This window comes from Homo sapiens, chromosome 16 (genome assembly GCF_000001405.40).
Source record: "Homo sapiens chromosome 16, GRCh38.p14 Primary Assembly".
Lineage (NCBI taxonomy): Eukaryota > Metazoa > Chordata > Mammalia > Primates > Hominidae > Homo > Homo sapiens.
The window spans coordinates 29805820-29825413 of record NC_000016.10 but is presented as its reverse complement, the minus strand read 5'-3'; the positions used below and the strand labels follow the sequence as shown (position 1 = coordinate 29825413).

General features: G+C 59.0%; 4 protein-coding genes and 1 long non-coding RNA gene across 20 annotated transcripts in view, besides 16 other annotated features; 1 reads left to right on the top strand and 4 right to left on the bottom strand.

Annotated features, from left to right (window-relative positions):
• MVP (major vault protein) overlaps window positions 1-5020 on the bottom strand; it is a 27646-nt gene extending 22626 nt beyond the window's left edge. Inside the window, exon 1 of one of the 2 annotated variants that reach the window (NM_017458.3) lies at window positions 4904-5020. The gene's annotated coding sequence lies outside the window, so the exon portion shown is untranslated. The remainder of the gene's footprint in view (window positions 1-4903) is intronic. The other variant, NM_005115.5, reaches the window with a different exon arrangement.
• Window positions 17-146: an enhancer, noted in NCBI's record as "active region_10683". NCBI's record gives its function as "activates an Ori minimal core promoter by ATAC-STARR-seq in GM12878 lymphoblastoid cells {active_cell/tissue: GM12878}" and the evidence as "EXISTENCE:reporter gene assay evidence [ECO:0000049][PMID:35858748]".
• Window positions 207-286: an enhancer, noted in NCBI's record as "active region_10682". NCBI's record gives its function as "activates an Ori minimal core promoter by ATAC-STARR-seq in GM12878 lymphoblastoid cells {active_cell/tissue: GM12878}" and the evidence as "EXISTENCE:reporter gene assay evidence [ECO:0000049][PMID:35858748]".
• On the bottom strand, window positions 2925-9262 carry PAGR1 (PAXIP1 associated glutamate rich protein 1). Its single transcript, NM_024516.4, has 3 exons — window positions 8407-9262; window positions 8122-8204; window positions 2925-5859 (listed from the first exon to the last, which is right to left on the bottom strand). The coding sequence occupies exons 1-3, from the start codon at window positions 8886-8888 to the stop codon at window positions 5660-5662; spliced, it is 765 nt and encodes a 254-aa protein (NP_078792.1). The 5' UTR covers window positions 8889-9262; the 3' UTR covers window positions 2925-5659.
• Window positions 3981-4547: an enhancer, noted in NCBI's record as "H3K27ac-H3K4me1 hESC enhancer chr16:29832188-29832754 (GRCh37/hg19 assembly coordinates)". NCBI's record gives its function as "activates a minimal SCP1, AML or CMV promoter by ChIP-STARR-seq in naive H9 embryonic stem cells {active_cell/tissue: H9 hESC(naive)}" and the evidence as "EXISTENCE:reporter gene assay evidence [ECO:0000049][PMID:30033119]".
• Window positions 4229-4518: an enhancer, noted in NCBI's record as "active region_10681". NCBI's record gives its function as "activates an Ori minimal core promoter by ATAC-STARR-seq in GM12878 lymphoblastoid cells {active_cell/tissue: GM12878}" and the evidence as "EXISTENCE:reporter gene assay evidence [ECO:0000049][PMID:35858748]".
• Window positions 5047-16770, top strand: MVP-DT (MVP divergent transcript). Its single transcript, NR_186424.1, has 4 exons — window positions 5047-5230; window positions 5813-5874; window positions 15241-15379; window positions 16281-16770. It is a non-coding gene; the product is annotated as an MVP divergent transcript (long non-coding RNA).
• Window positions 5239-5308: an enhancer, noted in NCBI's record as "active region_10680". NCBI's record gives its function as "activates an Ori minimal core promoter by ATAC-STARR-seq in GM12878 lymphoblastoid cells {active_cell/tissue: GM12878}" and the evidence as "EXISTENCE:reporter gene assay evidence [ECO:0000049][PMID:35858748]".
• Window positions 8951-9120: a silencer, noted in NCBI's record as "silent region_7340". NCBI's record gives its function as "represses an Ori minimal core promoter by ATAC-STARR-seq in GM12878 lymphoblastoid cells {active_cell/tissue: GM12878}" and the evidence as "EXISTENCE:reporter gene assay evidence [ECO:0000049][PMID:35858748]".
• Window positions 9311-9560: an enhancer, noted in NCBI's record as "active region_10679". NCBI's record gives its function as "activates an Ori minimal core promoter by ATAC-STARR-seq in GM12878 lymphoblastoid cells {active_cell/tissue: GM12878}" and the evidence as "EXISTENCE:reporter gene assay evidence [ECO:0000049][PMID:35858748]".
• On the bottom strand, window positions 9533-13221 carry PRRT2 (proline rich transmembrane protein 2). 8 transcript variants are annotated; one of them, NM_001438120.1, is made up of 4 exons: window positions 13063-13221; window positions 11481-12424; window positions 10949-11081; window positions 9533-10786 (listed from the first exon to the last, which is right to left on the bottom strand). In NM_001438120.1, exons 2-4 carry the CDS (start codon window positions 12357-12359, stop codon window positions 10776-10778), a joined length of 1023 nt encoding a protein of 340 aa, NP_001425049.1. In that variant the 5' UTR covers window positions 12360-12424; window positions 13063-13221; the 3' UTR covers window positions 9533-10775. The 8 variants fall into 8 exon arrangements, with proteins under 8 accessions (NP_001425049.1, NP_660282.2, XP_016878378.1 ...); NM_145239.3 differs by having other exon boundaries at window positions 13091-13221; XM_017022889.3 differs by having other exon boundaries at window positions 9533-9577; window positions 13091-13221.
• Window positions 9811-10030: an enhancer, noted in NCBI's record as "active region_10678". NCBI's record gives its function as "activates an Ori minimal core promoter by ATAC-STARR-seq in GM12878 lymphoblastoid cells {active_cell/tissue: GM12878}" and the evidence as "EXISTENCE:reporter gene assay evidence [ECO:0000049][PMID:35858748]".
• Window positions 9811-10552: a biological region, named in NCBI's record as "H3K4me1 hESC enhancer GRCh37_chr16:29826183-29826812".
• Window positions 9923-10552: an enhancer, noted in NCBI's record as "H3K4me1 hESC enhancer chr16:29826183-29826812 (GRCh37/hg19 assembly coordinates)". NCBI's record gives its function as "activates a minimal SCP1, AML or CMV promoter by ChIP-STARR-seq in naive H9 embryonic stem cells {active_cell/tissue: H9 hESC(naive)}" and the evidence as "EXISTENCE:reporter gene assay evidence [ECO:0000049][PMID:30033119]".
• Window positions 13219-13368: a silencer, noted in NCBI's record as "silent region_7339". NCBI's record gives its function as "represses an Ori minimal core promoter by ATAC-STARR-seq in GM12878 lymphoblastoid cells {active_cell/tissue: GM12878}" and the evidence as "EXISTENCE:reporter gene assay evidence [ECO:0000049][PMID:35858748]".
• Window positions 13769-13848: a silencer, noted in NCBI's record as "silent region_7338". NCBI's record gives its function as "represses an Ori minimal core promoter by ATAC-STARR-seq in GM12878 lymphoblastoid cells {active_cell/tissue: GM12878}" and the evidence as "EXISTENCE:reporter gene assay evidence [ECO:0000049][PMID:35858748]".
• MAZ (MYC associated zinc finger protein) lies at window positions 14250-19290 on the bottom strand. Of its 8 annotated transcripts, none has more exons than NM_001276275.2 (6): window positions 19234-19290; window positions 18521-18607; window positions 17586-18436; window positions 17121-17184; window positions 16673-16844; window positions 14250-15337 (listed from the first exon to the last, which is right to left on the bottom strand). In NM_001276275.2, exons 1-6 carry the CDS (start codon window positions 19267-19269, stop codon window positions 15183-15185), a joined length of 1365 nt encoding a protein of 454 aa, NP_001263204.1. In that variant the 5' UTR covers window positions 19270-19290; the 3' UTR covers window positions 14250-15182. The 8 variants fall into 8 exon arrangements, 7 of the variants coding, with proteins under 7 accessions (NP_001263204.1, NP_001036004.1, NP_002374.2 ...); NM_001042539.3 differs by lacking the exon at window positions 19234-19290 and adding an exon at window positions 15650-15874 and having other exon boundaries at window positions 18521-18885; XM_047434111.1 differs by lacking the exon at window positions 14250-15337 and adding an exon at window positions 15651-15874.
• Window positions 17095-17334: an enhancer, noted in NCBI's record as "active region_10677". NCBI's record gives its function as "activates an Ori minimal core promoter by ATAC-STARR-seq in GM12878 lymphoblastoid cells {active_cell/tissue: GM12878}" and the evidence as "EXISTENCE:reporter gene assay evidence [ECO:0000049][PMID:35858748]".
• Window positions 17415-18084: a silencer, noted in NCBI's record as "silent region_7337". NCBI's record gives its function as "represses an Ori minimal core promoter by ATAC-STARR-seq in GM12878 lymphoblastoid cells {active_cell/tissue: GM12878}" and the evidence as "EXISTENCE:reporter gene assay evidence [ECO:0000049][PMID:35858748]".
• Window positions 18985-19124: a silencer, noted in NCBI's record as "silent region_7336". NCBI's record gives its function as "represses an Ori minimal core promoter by ATAC-STARR-seq in GM12878 lymphoblastoid cells {active_cell/tissue: GM12878}" and the evidence as "EXISTENCE:reporter gene assay evidence [ECO:0000049][PMID:35858748]".
• Window positions 19255-19594: a silencer, noted in NCBI's record as "silent region_7335". NCBI's record gives its function as "represses an Ori minimal core promoter by ATAC-STARR-seq in GM12878 lymphoblastoid cells {active_cell/tissue: GM12878}" and the evidence as "EXISTENCE:reporter gene assay evidence [ECO:0000049][PMID:35858748]".

Below are 19594 nucleotides of genomic sequence, written 5' to 3'. Positions count from 1 at the left end.
GACATGCGCAGTTAGAGCATTTTACTTAAAATAGATCAGGGCCCTCAAAAGACAATAGCAAGGATTGTGTTGACCTTTGGAAGGCTCTGCCCAGCCCTCAGGCTTGGCCCCTGCTCCCCAGATCCACTCATCCACCCAACTTCCTTCAGTCTCTGCTTCTGAGACCTGCCCTAGTCGGCTCTCAGTGTAGAGGCCCAGTCTTGCCTGATCACACCTCCCTCAGGTGTCATGAGGCTCCTGCAAGAACCACAGCCAGCTTTCACCCCAAATCCCACCAGGGTCTCTCCCACCATGAGGGTAAATAAGCAGGAACTAAATAGCCTGTCCAAAGCAGAAACCAGGTTCATTGTCTAGTTAAAAGAGGGGCTCTTGCCTGAGAGAGGTGGCTCACACCTGTAATCCCAACACTTTGGGAGGCCGAAGGTGGGAGGATGGATTGAGGCCAGGAGTTCAAGACCAGCTTGGGCAACATAGCAAGGCCCCATCTCTTTAAAGAAAGAAAAAAAAAAAAAAGAGGGAGACCGGATCAGACTCTTGGCTCAAAAGTAAACTTCTGCTACAGCAAAACTTAATAAATAAACGAGTCATGAGTCACTACTTCCCAGAGATCTTCAGGGTCAACTGTGAGTAGCTGATATACTGAATCTCTTTTTTGTTTTTTTTGGAGACTGTAGCCCAGGCTGGAGTGAAGTGGCACAATCTCGGCTCACTGCAACGTCCACCTACCTCCCAGGTTCAAGCAATTCTCGTGCCTCAGCCTCCCGAGTAGCTGGAATTACAGGCACATGCCACCAAGCCTGGCTAATTTTTTGTATTTTAGTAGAGATGGGGTTTCACCCCAGGGTGGTCTCAAACTCCTGAGCTCAGGCAATCTGCCTGCCTCAGCCTCCCAAAGTGCTAGGATTACAGGCGTGAACCACCACACCTGGCCCCTAGTGAGTCTTAAATGGCAATTGACCAAGTGACCACACTGCCTACGGGGTCTGCAGTGAGTAGAGTGGTACCACCTGGAGGCTTGATAGCAACACAGCCTGGGGCCCCACCCCAGAGCCACTGAATCTACTGGCATTTTAACTCGACCCTCAATGACTTGCATGCACATTACAGTCTGAGCAGCTCTGGTCTAAAGCAGACTCTCGGCTCGGGCTGCACACTGGTCATCTGGAAATCTGTTTTTTTTTTTTTTTTTTTTTTTTTTTTTTGAGATGGAGTTTCGTGCTTGTTGCCCAGACTGGAGTGTAGCCATCTCGGCTCACTGCAACCTCTGCCTCCCGAGTTCAAGCAATTCTCCTGCTTCAGCCTCCCAAGTAGCTGGGATTACAGATGTCCGCCACCACACCCAGATAATTTTGTTTTTAGTGGACAGGGTTTCGCCATGTTGGTCAGGCTGGAAGTGATCCACCCACCTCGGCCTCCCAAAGGGCTAGGATAACAGGTGTGATCTGCCGCGCCAGGCCTTCTGGAGACCTTTTTTTAAAGCCACCCATCTCCGGTGATTCTATTTAATTGGTCTGGGTGAGGTTCACCCGTTGCTATTGTAAAAAGTTCTCCCTCATTTTTTTTTTTTTTTTCTGAGACGAGTCTCGCTCTGTCACCCAGGCTGGAGTGCAGTGGCACGATCTCGGATCACTGCAGCTCCGCCTCCCGGGTTCATGCCATTCTCCTGCCTCAGCTGGGATTACAGGCACCCACCACCACGCCTAGCTAATTTTTTTTGTATTTTTAGTAGAGATGGGGTTTCACTGTGTTAGCCAGGATGGTCTTGATCTCCTAACCTCGTGATCCGCCTGCCTTGGCCTCCCAAAGTGCTGGGATTACAGGCGTGAGCCACCGCGCCTGGCCTCTGACTCTTAATATATATCCAGGATTGAGAGCCAGTGGGAAAATGTCACTCCAGCAGGTTTTATCACTGCCAGCATGCTCCTGGGCCACTTACTAGCCTCTGAGCCTTCCTCTCCAGTGAAGTGAGAATAAAAGTGACTGTTGACTAGGCTTGGTGGCTCCCACCTGTAATCCCAGCACTTTGGGAGACCAAGATGGGAGGATCACTTGAGGCCAGGAGTTCAAGACCAGCCTGGGCAACATAGGGAGACCCTGTCTCTATAAAAACCATAAAAAATATTAGCTAGGTGTGGTGGTGCACACCTGTGGTCCCTGCTACTTTGGAGGCTGAGGTGGGAGGATCGCCTGTGCCTGGGAGGTCAAGGCTGCAGTGAGCCGTAAATGGAGCACACGAGTGCGCTCTAGCCTGGGCAAGAGTGAGGCCATCTCAAAAAAAAAAAAAAAAAAAAGAAAAGAAAAGAAAAGGAAAAAAAAATGACTGCTCTTCAAGTCAAAGGTATTAGAGACTGGAGGGTCTCTGGTGCACAGTAGGAACTGGGAGGAGGATAAAGATCAGTTTCAGGCCGGGCGCAGTGGCTGTAATCCCAGCACTTTGGGAGGCCAAGGCAGGCGGATTGCCTGAGCTCAGGAGTTCGAGACCAGCCTGGCCAACATGGTGAAACTTCGTCTCTACTAAAAATACAAAAATTAGCCGTACATGGTGGCAGGCAACTGTAGTCTCAGCTACTCGGGAGGCTGAGGCAGGAGAATTGCTTGAACCAGGGATGCAGAGGTTGCAGTGAGTCGAGATTGCGCCATTGTACTCTGGCCTGGGGGACAGAGCGAGACTCTGTCTCAAAAACAAAAACACAGCTCCGATTGCAGGCTGTGAAGGGCAGGGAATTGCACTCATTCTCCTCCAGCCCCTTCCCTTACCCAGGTCCAGGCAGCCTCCTTTGTCCCCAACCCCAGGGCTCTTGCTCCAGGCAGTCCTGAGGTTGGACGTAAGGTCGGTGATGCGGCCCTGCCCCCAGACCTTCCCACAGCTTCAGGTTCAGGAAAAGGCACATGAAGTTTGGTATAAACAAGGACACAACTTCACAGAGTTTCTCACTGATTTAAGTTAAATATTCTAGTCTTTAGAGAATGGGTCACATGACTCAGGAATTGCCAACAGCCTGTTTTCACCCAGCGGCTTCCTGGTTTACCCCCTTTAGGAGATGATTAATGGAAATTGAGAATGTGTCTCATAAATTACTTTTTTTTTTTTTAAAGCAGCACAGTTTTAGGAACTTTTCGAGACAGAACAGCTCAGCCAGCCTAGACTTCCACTTGTCCTCCCTCCTCCCACTCCTGCCAATTAACACCAGTCACCAGAGGCAAGAACCGCCTAGATCAGAAGCGACCCCAGGAACCAGGCTTCAGCACCCCTGATCTTCATCAATATTTTCTCAACTTGCCTAATCATAGGACTGAGCTATAATTCTTTAAAAAAAAAAAAAAAACAAAACCCCAACCACACACACACAAACAGAGACAGGGTCTCGCTATGTTGCTCAGGCTGGTCTGGAACTCCTGGCCTCAAGCCATCCTCCCATTCGGGCCTCCCAAAGTACTGGGATTACAGGCCTGAGCCACCGCATCCAGCCCTAGGCTGGAATTCTTAACCCCACTCCTGCTGCTTTTTGCAGGCCTCACTTCTGACTCACTGGGTCTAAGTTTCCGGGAGAGAGCCTCTGGACCCTGTGTTCTAGGCAAACGCCCCTAAGTAACAGCTCCCACTTCAGATGAGCTTAATCTGTGCCAGGTAGTGTTAAGTGCCCTCAATTAACTCATGTTATCCTCACAAGAACCTGCAAGTTAAGAAATTTGCCCAAGAGCACACAGTTATCAAAGGACGGAGCCGGAAGTCCAACCTGGCTATAACTGTAGAGACCACAAACTAGGAGGCAGTGGCTTCTCAGGCAGAAACACAAAGATTCTAAGCCGAGAACAAGAACTAGAGGACCTGGGTGGGGCTGTGTACTGCCCAGATGGTGCTAATGGCAGTTCAAAGGTGAGTGTTTCCTGTAAGTTGGGCCAGCGCCCAGCCTCTGCTCCCCCAGAACCTGGGAGGGCAGCACCCAAGATAACCTGAGCACCCCGTTACCTTGGAGCCCTGAGGCTGTCTCTGGGCCACCCACTCAAGGTGGCCCCCCTACCTGCTCAAGGCTACATACAGAGGGCTGTCCTGCCCAAACAGCCACACCCGAGGGCCGACCCAGTGCTCTGTGTGCCAAGGGAGTTTCTGGCAGAGCCACCTGATACCCCACGTGACAGCTGGCCTCTCCCCCATCACCCAGGGGCTACCCAGGCAGAGAGCTGAGAACACAGGGGCCATCAGCCTCGCTATCACCTCCACCCCCAAGTGCTTGGCTCCCCAAGGGACAGCTCTAAAATCCCCAGAATCTCAGGCTGGTGGGTCCAGCTGAGCATCCTAGTTTTCACTTTCTCCTCCCAAAAAGGAAAGAACCTTGGTCACTAAATTCTACGCCTTCTGGAAATCACTCTGCTAATGACTTCCTGAATGATCGACTGAGACCAACAGCTGGCCCAGCCCTGCATGGAGGAGTAAGAAACCCTCATCTGTCAGAGTTAAGGGGCCTGAATGGGTACAGGTCACATTCTTGGAGCTCAAGGTGACAGGCCAGAGCCCAGGTCCCCAGGACAGTGCAGGTGAGTAGAGCAAGCACCGATCTAGGGCTAAGATGGGGTCTGAATGACCCTGTAAGGTTCCCCACCTGATTTCCCAGGTGGGACCCTGAAGTCAGAGAGAGGCCTGAGAGTTGCAGGGGGGTGGGGGACCGGTGTTGGTGTTAATCTGCCTTTACTTCAAAACCCAGAAGACTCCCAACTATTGGAAAGTGAAACCTCCAAAAGCAAAGCCACCACCCATCCTCCTTCCCCACTCTGATTCAGACATGTTTTCCCTGCCCCAGCAGAAGCAAGGCCCTTCAAAGCAAGACAGGACTAAAGAGAGCCTCAAGGGATACAAAGATCTGCCCCTGATTTGGGGTTTGGGGGGCTAGTACAATGTACTCACATCTAGAAGTGCAGGTAGCTGCAACAAACGCCTCAGATGGGGAACTCTCACCCTGCCTTGGGGATCACTTCCCGGCAGGGCAAGGCAGGCCAAGCCCAGGGGTGGGGCTTGGGAGTTAAAGGGCCCGTGTGCAGCTGGTTCTCATTTTATCCTCCGGGCTGCTTCTGCTGCAGCTGAAGGCACACTGCTCCCTGAGTGCTCATGGGTTTCTACCTTGGAGCCAGCTGGCTGCACTGGAGTGGGACTGGGAGGAGTTGGAGGGCCCGAGATGGGACAGGTGCTAACTGAGGGCACCTCTACCCATCTGGCTTTCATTTTCCAATCTGGGTGAGTACAATTCTGCCTCTCCCTTCAAGTGGGGCCTAACTGTTGAGCTACAGCTACAGCCCCTCCTTTTAAGAGATGATAGCTCTGCATCTTTTATTTCAGACTCAGAAAATTCAGTCCAGGTCTCTGAATAGGTGTTCAATAGAAAACACACACTCACACACTCTCTCTATATAGATGTTCAATAGAAAACACACACACTCTCTCTATAGGTGTTCAATAGAAAACACACACACACACTCTACAGGTGTTCAATAGAAAAAACACACACACACACTCACACTCTCTCTTCCTCTTTCCCGCAACGTGCTGTTTGGGAGCTTGAGGTTTCTCTCTTCTTCCCAAGTTTCTCAATGTCTGGGCTGGGGAAGGAGGGCCCAGGCTCCAGCAGGTACGGACACTGCACCCTAGAGGCAGGAGCAGTGGGAATCAGTATTTCCGCTGCCGAGGGAAGAGACTACTCCCGGAGGATCGGAGTGGGGGGCTGGCGGGGCTGGGGTCCTCCGAGTCCAGGCTGAAGAGGTCCCTCCCGGTACGAAGGATCTGCTCCTCCAGCTTCTTGTGTCTCTTCATGTCCGACAGCACCTTGTCCAGGCGGGCCTCCCGTTTCTGGCTCCGGGCTGAGCTTCCTGGAGAAGAGGAAGGTAAGATACATGGAAGGGATGGAGGTGGTGTACACCATACCTGCCTGGACCTCACTCATCACTTGGGGAGCTGGTTAAACATGCAGGTCCCCAGGCCTCTGTCTTGGAGGACCTGAGGTTCAGGGTTGGACCTCAGAGAGGGTGAGAAGCAAAGATCTTGATTGACAGGAAGGCACAGGTAATGTGAAGAACAGGGAGGAACATACTGGGCAGGGGAATGGCAAGGGTAGAGGCCCCAGGACAAGAACAGAGTTCTGTTCAAAGAAGAGTGCAGGCCGGGCATGGTGGTTCACGCTTGTAATGCCAGCACTTTGGGAGGCTGAGGTGGGCAACTCACGAGGTCAGGAGTTTGAGACCAGCCTGGCCAACACAAAAAATTAGCTGGGCGTGGTGGTGGGCGCCTGTAATCCCAGCTACTTGGGAGGCTGAGGCAGAAGAATCGCTTGAACCCGGGAGGTGGAGGTTGCAATGAGCCAAGATCGCACTACTGCACTCCAGCCTCGGTGACACAGCTACACTCCGTCTCCCCTACTCGCCAAAAACAAAAACAAAAAAAAGAGTGCAGAGAACTGGAGGTGGCGGGAAAAGCGCTTGGATTCTCCTTTGACATGCTCTTCCCTGGCAAGATGGAATCCCTTGGAAAATTTTAAGTGGAAAAGTGACACGATTTATGGCTGAGTGCAGCAGCTCACGCCTGTAATTCCAGCACTTTGGGAAGCTGAGGCAGGCACTTTGGGAAGCTTTAGGTCAGGAGTTCAAGACCAGCCTCGCCAACATGGCGAAACCCCCTCTCTACTAGAAAATACAAAAATTAGCTAGGCGTGGTGACGTGTCCTTGTAATCCCAGCTACTCAGGAGACTGAGGTAGGAGAATCGCTTCAACCCAGGAGGTGGAGATTGCAGTGAGCCAAGATCATGCCACTGCACTCCAGCCTGAGCAAGAGAAAGACTTCGTCTCAAAGAAAAAAAAAGTGATATGATTTATGTTTTAAAAGGTTCATCTGAATTGCAGAAGCTGGAAGCAGAGAGCCCAGTTAGGAGCTACTACAACTATCCAGGCAAGAAAGACAGTGGCTTGGATGGGGATGTGGTATTGAAAGTGGAGACTAGCAGAGGTACTTGGAAATGTACATCTTATAGCTACCAAGACTTGCTGCTGGTGTGAATGTTCAGGTAAAAGAGAGAGAAATCAAGAATGGCTCTAGGCTGGGTGCAGTGACTCATGCCTGTAATCTCAGCACTTTGAGAACCGAGGCGGATGGATCACTTGAGCTCAAGAGTTCGAGACCAACCAGTCTGGGCAACACAGCAAGACTCTGTCTCTCCACCCCTCAAAAAAAAGAAAAAAGGAAAGGCATGACTCTGAGGGTAAATTCTAGGAAGGCATGTGGGGTGGGAAATGGGGCCAGCGGTGTGATTAAAGAATGTACATGGTAGTAGAGGGATGCAGATCTAGATAATATTGAAAGGCCAGGACTTGGACTTCTGGGAATGGGAAACATGATAGAATTATCTGTAATTTTCCAGAATCAATGACTAGTTGTTTTTTTAAAAAAAGAATTATCTGTAATTGTGTTTTTTGAGACGGAGTCTCACTCTCTCGCCCAGGCTGGAGTGCAGTGGTGTGATCTCAGGTCACTGCAACCTCCACCTCCCAGGCTCAAGCGATTCTCCTGCCTCAGCCTCCTGAGTAGCTGGGACTACAGGTGCCCGCCACTATGCCCGGCTAATTTTTTGTATTATAATTGTCTCTTAAAGGAAGACAAGGGGCCAGGCGCATTGGCTCATGCCTGCAATCCTAGCACTTTGGGAGGCTGAGGTGGGCGGATCACAAGGTCAGGAATTCAAGACCAGCCTGGCCAACATGGTGAAAGCCTGTCTCTACTAAAAATACAAAAATTGGCCCAGAGTGGTGGCATGCGTCTGTAATCCCAGCTACTTGGGAGGCTGAGGCAGGAGAATTGCTTGAACCCAGGAGGCGGAGGTTGCAGTGAGTTGAGATCGTGCCATTGCACTCCAGCCTGGGGGACAAGGGCAAGACTCCATCTCAAAAAAAAAAAAAAAAAAAAAAGGAAGACAAGGTAGTAATCTAAGTCATAAAGATGGTGCTACTGGGTGAATACTCTCTCCTGCAGCTGTAAGTTGTGTGGGAGCTGAGGCAGCAAGCAAAGGCCTCTAGGGGAGCCGATCTTGGGTAACTGAGCCGAGGCCCTTCACCTCCCCCAACTGTTTCCTCTTCGTTTGTACCTGGGGTGCGTCTCCGGTCAATCAGGGAGTCCTTTGGTGTCACTGGCTCATCATCAAAATCAAATTCCGTGGGCATGTGTGGTCTGGGACAGGTGAACATAGTTAAGGGTGAGGGCGGTCCTCCCTCCCACCCACACGTGTGCTTCTCCCCTGCCCGTTCCTCCTCCCCCGCTGGCTTCCCTCCCTCCACTTTCAAAGGTTCCAGCGTCCCACATTTTCCCCTCCCTATTTCCTCCCGCCATCAGGGGAGCAGCCCCGGGACAAGGTGTAAGGGTGTGCCTTTACTTTTCCTCTTCCTCTTCTTTGGCCTCCGGCTCCTCATCGGATCTCTCCTCTTCGCTCTGGGCCTCCGGCGTGGGAGGCCGGCGGGGCAGGATCTCGGCTTGCAGCTCCAGAGTACCGTGGGCAGCCAGCAGTTCATAGAGCCGCTGGATTTCGGAGGGCGGGGGCATCCAGGGCTGCCCATCCGCAGGCAGCTCCACCTCCTCGTCGCTGCAGGGCACGCACCAGTCCTCGGAGTCCTCCTCGGCAGGCTCTTCTCCCCCAGCGCTGGGGACTTCTCCCTGCGCCTCCTCGCCCCCGGACCCCTCACGCTCGGTCTCCTCTCGGCCTCCTTCCCCCTCGTCCTCGGCCTTACCGGCCGAGGCAGAGGGGCCTCCGGTATCCTCCACGGCCAGAGCCTGGAGGCCGGAGGTCACTTCCCCTTCTTCAGACAGAGGCGCCGCCGTACTGGCCGCAGTGTCTCCATGGCCCCGAGCAAGGGACATAGGCCACTAGGGCAGGGACCCTGCGACGACAGATACTGGAGTCCGAAGCCAGGGTCCCCCAGGGATCGGGCTCCCCTGGGGGTTCGGGACCGTTTCCAGCCAATCACGCTCCCGCAGGGGACTCCGCGGCCAGACCGCCCGTCCCCGGGAGGGGGCGCTCAGTCCCCACCAAGGACCCCGCCCCGGAGATCGAGGTTCGGTACTCCGAGGCTCCCGGGCCCCGCAGAAACCACTTTCCGAAAGAGGGAAAGGGGGAGGAGAGGGACGGGCCACTCTTCTCGCTTCCACGACGCCCCTCTCCACACCCGGACACGGCGCCTTCTCCCCAGACCTTTCAGTTGTGGGCCACGTCAAGTCAGATGCCGTACGCACCTGGAGCTAAGACCCGCCTCCCAGGCTGCGCAGGGTCACGCTACGCAGGCGCACAGAAATGGCGCGGGAGGCTCCGCTCTAGGCAAGGCTACTTGGAAGAGGAAAGCGAGGGAAGGCTTGCACATGCGCGAGTAAGCGCACAGGCTTCAGCCCACAGTAAAGATGGCCACCGGGAAGTCGCATGCGTATACCACCCAGTAAGGTTCTGCCAGAAAGGCAGCACCGCCGGGCCGGCGGGACGAACGCAGGAACCAACCGAGATTGGAGGCGAGTCTCATGCAGTCTCCGTTTATTGGTGTTTCAGACTCATGCAGCATCCGGCATACAAAAAGGGAGAAATCAGTTTGATAATAGCCTTTTTTTTTTTTTTTTAAGAATTTTAGTTTTTTTCTTCCCCCAGACTTTTTTTTTTTTTTTTTTTTTTTTTTTAAGGAAAAAAACCCCCGCCAAATCCGAACCGCGTTGTAGCTCGGTCCCCGCCTCCTCAGCGGGCTGTCGCGTGCAACAAACCTCCCCCATCATCTTAGAAAATAATTATAGAGCGCGGCGCCCCGCCCTCGCTCCTGCCAGTGGGCGCTTTGGTCCTATTTTTTGGATTATTTCATTACGAAGCACGTGAATGAATCTAGCCCCCACACCTTCAAGAAAGAAACTCGCGGACTGGGGTTGAAAAGCCCAGGTGGGCGGGTCAACTCCAGCTGACCTGGAAGGGTCAGCGCCGCGTCCCTCCCTTCTCCCCTGCGTGCGTTCGGAACCAGTACTCGCCACCCTCACCCGAGTCCCCATACGAGGCCCGGCTTGCCAACTCTGCGACCTGCCAGGCACCCTTGGGTGTCCGACCCTGGGTGGTCCCAGCAGAGAACAGTCCGAGCCTGGGGTTGGGGAGCCCTCTCCCAACACTGCTCCCTGCCCCCAAGCCTCGTCTAAGTGCTGTCAATTTTGCAGAGTAAACGGTGACGGGAGGTTGGAGAAGAGGATGCTTAAGGGAGATGAGGAGGCAGGAAGAGGAAGGGGGCGGGACGTGGAGAGGAAAGGGGAGATGATAAAGAAGGGAAGGAAGAGAGGACTGAGGGTTGAGAGATGCCAAGACAATGAAAGTTGGGAGGAGGCGGCCAGGGTGGAGGTCCAGAGAATTTGGGGGGCTGGAAGAAGTGCAGGGAGGCCAGGAGAGATGCAGGGAGGCTGAGAGCGCAGAGTTGGGGAGGTGTTCAGGGAGGTTTCCAGAGTGCAGGGAGGTTTCCAGAAGTGCAGGGATAGGGGGCCAAGAGGCCGGAGGGGATGCAGGCATTAGTGCAGGGAGGTTGGAACCAGTGCAGGGATGAGGCAGGCCTACAGTTGGCAGAGGAGCCTGGCAAGATGCAGGAGCAGGACAGAAGCTGTAAACAAGGCCGCTCAGGCTCCCTTGGTCCTTAGGGGTGGGGGCCAGGGCCATCAGTTGGGCTCCCCCCAGGGGAGGGATGGGCCCAAGGCAGCTCCCAACAGGAAGAAAAGTCTTGGGATGCGGGGCAGAGCCCCTCACTTATACACTGTGGGAGAGGAGAGGGAAGGACAGACGGGGGGAGGGGGAGACAAGGAGAGACAAAGGAGAGGTAAGGAGGACAGACAGGAGAGAGCAGGGGCAGGGGTTAGTAAAGCTGCCCTTGCCAACCCTTCCATTCCTCCCCTGCCTGTCCCAAGCCCCCACTCACCGCCTAAGTTGATGACGCAGGAGGCGATGATGATGAGGACTCCCCCCACCAGCGCCACGATGCTTAAGAGCTTGGCTACCCGGCCCAGACGCTGGGCCCCGTCCACGTCCCCCTGCTGCAGGCTGTTCCGGGACTGGGGTTAGGGCGAGGGGTGGAGGCACATAGCCGGGGTCAGGAGAAGCCAGCCCAGAAGGGATCAGGTGGAAAAGTCATCCAGAAGAGAGAGAGGCCAGCCCCATAGATGGCGGGTAAGGGAGGAAGGAGGAGTGAAGGGGCAGGGGGAGGAGGGCACAGGTCAGCGAGGCTGTGTGACACGTGTTTCCATATCCCTCCCACCCAAAGGGGCAGGGCAGTGGTGGCTCAGAGGGTTAGGTCCTAGGGAGAGGCAAACAAAGGCCCTGGAATTGGGGAGGTGGGATCCATGCAGAGAGGAGAGGGGAAGGAAGGCATGATTACTCCAGAGGCTCTATTGCAGCGCTGGCGGGAAGCTGGGAGCCACAGCAGGCCTGGGCTAGGGTCCCATGGGGCTCACCATGACAGCATAAGCGAAGGCCACGATGTTGACAGGCCACATGGGGCAGAAGCAGGACAGGATGGCAAGGATGATGTAGTCCCGAGGTTTCTGGGTGCCTTCACCCCCCTCCACCCCAGGACCTGCCAACTGGGAGCTGGGGTGGCGGCTCAGGCTACCTCGGGGAGATCCTGGATGCCCACTGTGTGCCCTTCTCATTCGATCCTCCTCAACCAGCTGCTGCAGCACTCGGGGGGGGGCCCCATTGGCTGGGGGGGATTTTTTTGAGGGTGGTGAGTGAGGCTCAGGGGCTGGGCCCTCTTCCCCATCACCAGCCTGCAGGGGCACCACTGCCCCATTCTCTTGCTTTTCCCCTACACTCTCAGACAGAATCTCAGGGGTGGGGTCCTCCTGGGTAGGGAGCTCTGGTTGAAGGGCTGGCTTGGGGGTAGGCTGGGAATCTGGCCGGGGGTCTGGTTGGGGAGCAGGCTCTGGGGCTGGTTCAGGTGGGGCTGCAGACTCCAGCCTGGACCCCTGGTCTGCAGTGGCCTCTTTGCTCACTTCTGGTTTGGACACTGTTTCTTGGCATGGGTCTTCGGGGCTGCAGTTGGCCTTTGATTCCCCTCCTGGGCTTAAGCTGAGGTCTGTGGCCTGGGCTGTTTCTGAGGCCCCAGCCGGGGTCTCTGTGGTTTCTGGAGCCAGCCCAGCCTTGGGCCCTGAGTCCACAGGGGCCGCAGTGGTGTTTGGACCTGGCTGCGGGGCCTCTGGCTGGTCTGGTACCCCTGCTAGGACCTGGGGAGGGCCAGTTTCAGCTTCAGAATGGCCAGGCCCTTCGCCTGGAACCTTGGGACTCTCCTCAACCCCCTTCATCTCAGAGATCTCAGAGCTGCTGGCTGCCATCTTGAGATGGGAGAGGGGAGAGAGCCCCTATGGGGAGGATGGAATAGCAGAGACAGCGGCAAACCCTGGAAGAGGAGGAGATAGGCTTGGGGTGAGGAGGGAAGAGGGCGCTCAGCACTGCAGGCCCAATTGGGCCACATTCCTGTCTCAGGGCCAGCCTTGCACTGCCTCTAGGGAGAGGAAGAAAAGTTGGGGTTTCCTTTGCCTTAGGGTGGGACATCCCTGCGGGAGGAGTGCTCTACTCAAAGTCTTCTGCTTGGAGAGCCCTGGGGAAGATTAACCCTTTTGTAAACAGGACCTTCTCCAGGGTCTCTCCCTGGGTCCATCCAACAAGATCCAGACTCTCAGATCCCAGCACCCCAAAATCAACGAGCTGTGCAAATAGCACTCCGACAGGCCGACTGGGCAGAGGACCCGACATTCGCATTCCACTCCCTCTGCATCCTCCCCTCCTCCCTGGGCTCCCAGGCGGTGCGGGTTTTCTTGCTGCGCGTTTAGGGCGAGGACGCTCCCGCCCCTTTCTGGGGGACCTGGTTATCTCCTTCGATCCCCTGTCAGCCCCTCTCCCGGGGCTTCCCTCGCCTTCGGTGGGCTGGCGCCTCCTCCCGATGGTTCAGCCCGCCCAGCACCACCACCAGCCCTCCAGACACCCGCATTCCCGTGCAGTCCGCCCGGCGTCAGCCGTCGGTCGGTCCACTCCTACCCGCAGCCTCAGTCTGCCCGGGTCTCACCTCGACGCCGGCCTCCGGACAGCTCCCGCTGCCGCTGCTGGCTTTTGCAGCAGCCGCAGCCCGGGAGGGAGCAAGTCAGCTAGGGAGGGAGGGAGGCGGCGGGTCTCCCTCTTCTCCTCTCCCGTGTGCTCATCCCCTCCTCTCCGGTCCCCTCCCCTACGCTCCGCCGCCGTCGCCGCCCCCGCCCCTCGCGAGCCTCCGGCCCCTCCCGCCAGCCCAAGGGAGCCACGCGTTACCCAGGCAACCGGCCCGGGGACCACTCGCGCCCCCTCCCTGCCCCTTCTCACGCGCGCCTCCAGGAGAGACGCCTCCTTCTTAAGTCCCCGGCCCCTCCCGCCAACGGTCACCGGGATTCCTGGAAGAGACGGGGATTTGGGGGAAACGGAGAGGGTTCTGCGAGGAGACGGGACCAGTGAGACAGGCAGGACCGGGTGGAGGCGTCTCTACGAGCAGGAGGGCAAGGAAGATGGGGCAAGACGCGGGGAGGCTGCAGAGGAGGAGCAGGGTGGGGTTTGGAGAGAATGGAGCCTGCAGAAAGGAGCGGCAGAAACTGGCGCTGGAAGGCTCAAAAAAGGGGCCCTGGAAAGGACGGAGCGGGGACAGGAAAGGGAATTCCAAGGGGCAGGAGGAGCTGGGCAGAGGAGCCCGTGTAAACACAGAGTGGCCCATGCCCAGGATGAGGGACAGGTGCAGCTTTCATTCTCTACCTCGCTGCTCCCAGTCCTAGGGCTCGGACTCCCCAGCCTTTCCGCAGCCGCATCCACCCACCATGGCCTCAGGGCCGTGACGCGCGTGGGGAGGGATGCGGCTGGGGGCTGAGCAGCGGCCATGAGTGTGGACGGGGGAGGGCGGCATTCCCGTCTGGCAGCTCTGTTTGGGTTTCTGACGGGGCCTCTTCAAACCTCCAGGGGCTATTCTGGGCCTGTCCGAGTTGGGAATTCCCCAGAGACCTGGAACTTGCTCTCCACAGCCACAGCCTTGGCCCCGCCCTGTATCTGTGCTGCCGCCAGTAAGGCTGCCCCTGGGGAGGGCGGAGCCAGAACCTCACAGCCTCACAGGGCAGAGCAAGGCTGGATTGACGGACACCAGGCCGAGAAGAAACCCTTGGGGTTGGCGGCAGTTCTTAGTGAGGGCAATTCATTCAATCCAGAGCCAGAAACAGGATTTTATTTAAAATTTATTGTAATGGGGTCCGCGCAAAAGGAAGGGGTGGAGGGTGGGGTACATGCAGGGGACACAGGAACACGATGACATGGCCAGGGCCACAACTTCTTCTGTCGTGGGGAAGAGGGATGAAAAGACAAGACCAGGGCTGGAGCTGGGGTGGAAGAGGGGAGGGGGACACTGGCTGCATTCCCCCGCCCCCAGGAAGCACCTCTAGGCCCTGGACCCCTCGCTCACCCTGGCCCCTAAGACTCCATCTCTTCTCTGCCTCTGGCCCTCCTGGCTCTTCCTCCTGCTCCCCTTGACTTTTTCCCCTGACAGATTCTCAAGTAGGACGATGTTCAGGGCCTGACCCCAACCCCCCATACCACCTTATGAAGGTACAACCTTTGCCGGCCCTGCTTCTGCCCCTCCTCAAACCTCACCGCTTTCCCTCTTTGGGACAGCTCTGATCCCCCTCCTTCCTCTCCTCCCTCCCCCTGGAAAAAAAAAAAAAAGGAAAAGAAAGCACCAACTCCCCGGGGAGGGGCTGCAGACAGCAGGGGGAGAGGACTGGAAGGAGAGAAGAGGACCGTCGAGGGAAGAGGCTCACAAGTCCCTGGGAAGACAGGGCATGGGCTTACAGAGAGGAGAGGGGGTACGGGCAGTGGCTGCTCGTGTCCTCTGCCACCCCTGCCCACTGTCCAGGGGACTTCAACACAACCGAGGGGACAGGTTTGTGTGGGGTCAGGTCTGACAGAAGAGGAGCAGGAGAAACAAATCGTTAAAACCTAGCGAATTCCCCTAAGAAAACATTTCTTCCTCCTTTCCTTCTGGAGGCTCCTTGGTTGGTAGGGAAATAGGAGTTGGTGGGAAAAGAGGGGGGAGAGGAGCTTGTACCAAGGGACTCTACTCCATTCTCCCCTCTCCCCCGCAACCAACTTGGAGCTCACCAGGGTTGGGAGGGAAGTGGCTGAGAGCTCACAGGCACCCCCTCCGCCCCCGAGAGGGAGCCCACAGCTGTGGGAGGGGCTGCTACTGCTGCCGCTGCTGCCGCTGCCGCCGCTGCCGCTGCCGCCGCCATTGGACAAACCTCACCAGTACCTGCACAGGAGAAACACCACGGATCACAGCGCGATCTGAATGGCAAGAGCCTTGCCCTCACCCCACACCTTCCCAGCCTGCTTCCCCTGGGACACAGCCGTTGCTCACTTCCTATCTGGACCCCAGAGGCCTCAGCCTGCATCCTCACCCAGACAGAGCAGTTCTCAAGGATCCTCCCTGTGCCCAGAAGTCTCCCTAGCCTGAGTGGTACATGGGCATCCCTCGCCTTCCTGAGATCCCCTATTGGGCCCTTTGAGCCCCGTTGTCCCCCACACCCCCCATCCCGCCCCCCAGCCATGCCCCACGCCTTGCCTGGTGGGTGCGGGGGTCCCCCTCAGCAGGTGGGCTGTGGCTGGGGGGCGTCTCCCGGGACAGGGGGGGCGGCCCCCCCCAGATGGGTCTGCATGTGGCCGGCCAGCTGGGCAGGGGTCTTGCAGTGCACGCTGCACAGCTTGCACAGGATGCGGTCAGCCCGCGGGGCCTGGAGCCCGTGGTCCTTCACCGCGTGGATGCGCAGGTATGCTGCCGTGGTGAAGCCTATTGGGGGGTGGATTGGGATGGGGCGGGGGTCAGCCAGGCGGAGACCCCAGAGACGGGGCTGATCTCCTAGGCGGGGGATGCCCTCCTCAGATGGCCCTGTCCTCCTCCCACGGTATCCTTGGTAGCCTGGGGCCAACTGCTCTGTTGGGGCTGGTAGACACAGCCCCTCCCTGAGCCTGGGGCCTGGCTTGTGTGGTGCCCGCTTCTCAGCCTTGGTACCTACAGAACTCATTCTCCATGGCCGGGAGACCTCTCCCAGGATGACGAGACACTGACTCCTAGCCACTTGCAGGGTTGACCCTCAGCAGAGACGGCTGTGTCCCCTTCCCTCCAGTGCCCCGCGGTCTCAACCCAGTTAACCGGTGAGTCTGACTGAAGGCAGCTTTCTCTGCTACCCGTGCAGGGTGCGTGCTGGTAAAGCCCGGCCCGTGTACTCCACCTGCCCCAGGAGCTGGAGACAAGACCTTGTGGCTGCGCAGCGGAAACCTTGCCTTGTGACCCCTGGAACTGGCTTTCTTGACTACTCCTTCCCCAGAGCAGCCAAGTTCCACTCCCGCTTTCCCCACACATTACCAGGAGGTTCAACCTCTCTGGCAGATCATCTCTTCCAACCAGGACTTCTTAGAGTCTAATGATGTTCATTCAGGTGTCCCCCCGCTGCTCCCTTGACCTCTTGTAGGAATCTAGACGCCACGAGCTCTTGGCTACAGCACCCTTAACCCGTATCCGTGGCAAGGCGTCTGGCCAGGCGCCCACCCTCTGCCCCTGGCCCTCCCGGCAGCCCTCGGCATGTACCTTTGTTGCAGAGCTCACAGACATGGTGAGGACCCTGGCTGTGCACCTTCATGTGGTCCGAAATATAAGCCGAGCTCAGCATCTTGCCACACACGTGACATGGCACTTTCTCCTCGTGTCGTACTGTGTGCGCCCGCAGCCGATCCTTCGTGGCGAAAGCTGCCTCACATTTCTGAGGAGGGGGGAGGGGCGTGGGGGGTGTCACAGGAGAGTTAAAGCTTGGTGGGCTGGGGAGGGGGGAGCAAGAGATTAAAGGAATCAGAGCCTTGGGGATCTTTGATCTGTAGGAAATGGGAGTGACATGATGAGGCCTTGAAGAAGGGATGAGAAAATGGAGCAAAAAGGCAAAAAGAAGAGAGAGAAAAAGGGGGTCTGAGAGACTGACTCAGACAGCTACCATGAGGATCAAAATCATGAAAACCAAGACAGGAGGAGGCGGGCTTCCTACCTCACATTTGAAGGGCCGTTCTGTTGAGTGCACTTGTCTGACGTGACTGTTGAGGTGATCCGGCCTGGGGACACGTTGGGGTTGGGGTTAGGGCGGAGGTGGTGCGCCCCAAATCCACCAAACCGCACCACAGGCCTTTCCGAGGATCCCTGCGCCTCCTCCCGGAGCCCAGGCCGTCACAGCGACACTTAAGCAGGAAATCCCTCCCCTGGAGCCCAGCAGCCGCTGCCGCCGCCGCCGCCTCCTCCCACGCGAAGCTTCCGTCAACCCCAAGGCCCACCTCCTCGACAAAGGACCACCCCTTGCTCCCTGGTAACCGGGAGAGGCTTCCTCCCTCCGCCCTGGGAGTGGCTCCCCTTCCCCAGCCTCAGCAGCCGCCTCCCTCCCCGCCAGCCACGGCCAGGCCACCTCCGTCGCGTCCCTCCCTCCCCACGGCCTAGCGGGCGGCCGAGGCCCCGTGCACACCGGGAGAAGCTCTTGCCACAGTGGGAGCAGTTGTAGGGCTTGTGCACAGCGCCGTCATGTGAGCGCACGTGGTAGCTCATGCGGTCCTTGCGCTTGAAGCGCTGCTGGCACACCGGGCACTGGTAGGGCTTCTCGTCCGAGTGCGACAGCTTGTGTCGGTTCAGGTGGTAGACGTCGCGGAAGGCCTTGCCACACATCTCGCAGGCATGGTTCTTCCGGATGCGCTTCCCCGAGGCGGTCGTGGTCACCACGCCACCGGCGGCCACTGCGGCAGCGCCGCCGCCGGCACCCGCCTCTCCCCCTCCCCCGCCGGCTCCGCTCAGCTGGGGCACGCTCAGGAGGCTCAGGGGCACCATGGTCGGCATCTTCATAGCACCCGAGGGGACCCGGCCGGCCTTGGCTCCCGTGTGGATGGCTTCGTGCCTCCGGAGATTGTAGCCGTTCTTGAACTCCTTGGCGCACAGAGCGCAGATGTAGGGCCCCTTGCTCTTTGTCTTCTTCTCCAAGGCAGACGCGACCGGGGCCACGGCGACCGTCGAGGTTGGGGCTACGACGGCGGTGGCCGCCGCCGCGGCGATAGTGGCGGCGGAGGCGGGGGGCGCGGCCTCGGCCGCGGGCGCCGACACTGGCGGGGGTGGCGGAGGGGGCGCCGGAGGCTGCTTCAGGGCCGCTGTGTCCACCGTAGAGGCGGCGGCAGGGGCCGGGGGCGCGGCAGCGACGGCGGCAGCAGCGGCGGCAGCGGCCGCAGCAGCCGCGGCGGACTCCTGGGCGGCGGCGAGCACCGGGAGCAAGTCCACCTGGAGGGGCTCGGCCGCCGGGGCCTGGGGCGTGGGCGGGGGCGCCGGCGCGGCCTGCGGAGACAAGGCGCCGAGTGGGCCGCGGGTGCGGGCGGGCGTCCCCCCCCAGCCCGGGCCGCCGCGGCCGGCCCTACTCACCTGGAATGGACTCTGGGCGCAGCCCTGGGAGGCAAAGAAGCGGGACTGGAGCTCAGCCCCGACCTGCAGGGGGTTCTGGGCGTGACCCTGAGGTGGCGGGAAGGAGTTCATGAGGCCGCCCACCCCCCGGGAGTCCAGGCCCAGCACGGGGAAGGGGGGGGCCAGCAGCGTGCAAGGAAACACCGGGAACATGGCCTCGGCCGCAGCGGGGCCCCCGGGGCTCAGCGGGGGCCGGGGGCGCGGGCCGCGCGGGGCCCGGGCTCGGGGCGCCGCCCCCGGCCGGCCGGGCTGGGCCGCGCCGAACGCATGGCCCGCGGGCCGCCCCGCCGCCCGCGCACCCCGGCCGGCGGGAGGGAGGAAAAGAGGGCGCCTTGCGGGCCGCGGAGCGCCGCGGCGACGGCGGCGGCGACGCCCCCTGGGTGGGGGCGGGAGGCCCCGCGGGGCCGGGGCCGGGGGCGGGGGCCCGGGCGGCGGCGGCGGCGGCGGCGGCGGTTGGAGCCTGGCGGGGCGGGGTGGGGGGAGCGAGGGAGCAGCCTCGGCCCCCGCCGCGCGCGCGCCCAGCCGGCGCCTCGGGGAGGGCGGGGGAGGGCGCGAGGGAGGGAGGGGGACAGCTGCGCGCGCACCGGGCGCGCGGAGGGGGGGTGGGACGGGAGGGAGGGCGGGCAGGAGGGGGTGTGGGCAGGGGGGTGGGGGCGGGGGGAGGGAGTTGTTACCTGGAAGATGAAGCTGCTCCAGTTGCTGGGATCCATGGCGGAGGGAGGGAGGGAGGTGGCTCGCGCTCACCCTGGGGCGGGAGGAGGAGGCGGCGGCGGTGGGGGAGGGGGAACCCGGGAGGAGGCGCGCGGGGCGGGCAGGAGGGGGGAGGTGGAGGGTGGGGGAAGCGGAGCACACTACGCGCGGGGAGGGCGGGCGGGGGGCGCGAGGACACACAAGAGGCTGGAGCGGGCGCGAGCGCTAGCGCGAGCGCGCGCGTGGCCAGCGGGAGGGGCAGGCGCGAGAGGGACTCTGGCGGGAGGAGGGACGGGGGAGCCACCCAGCAGCCCGAGTCGCCCCGAGCGCGAGACCCCTGAGACG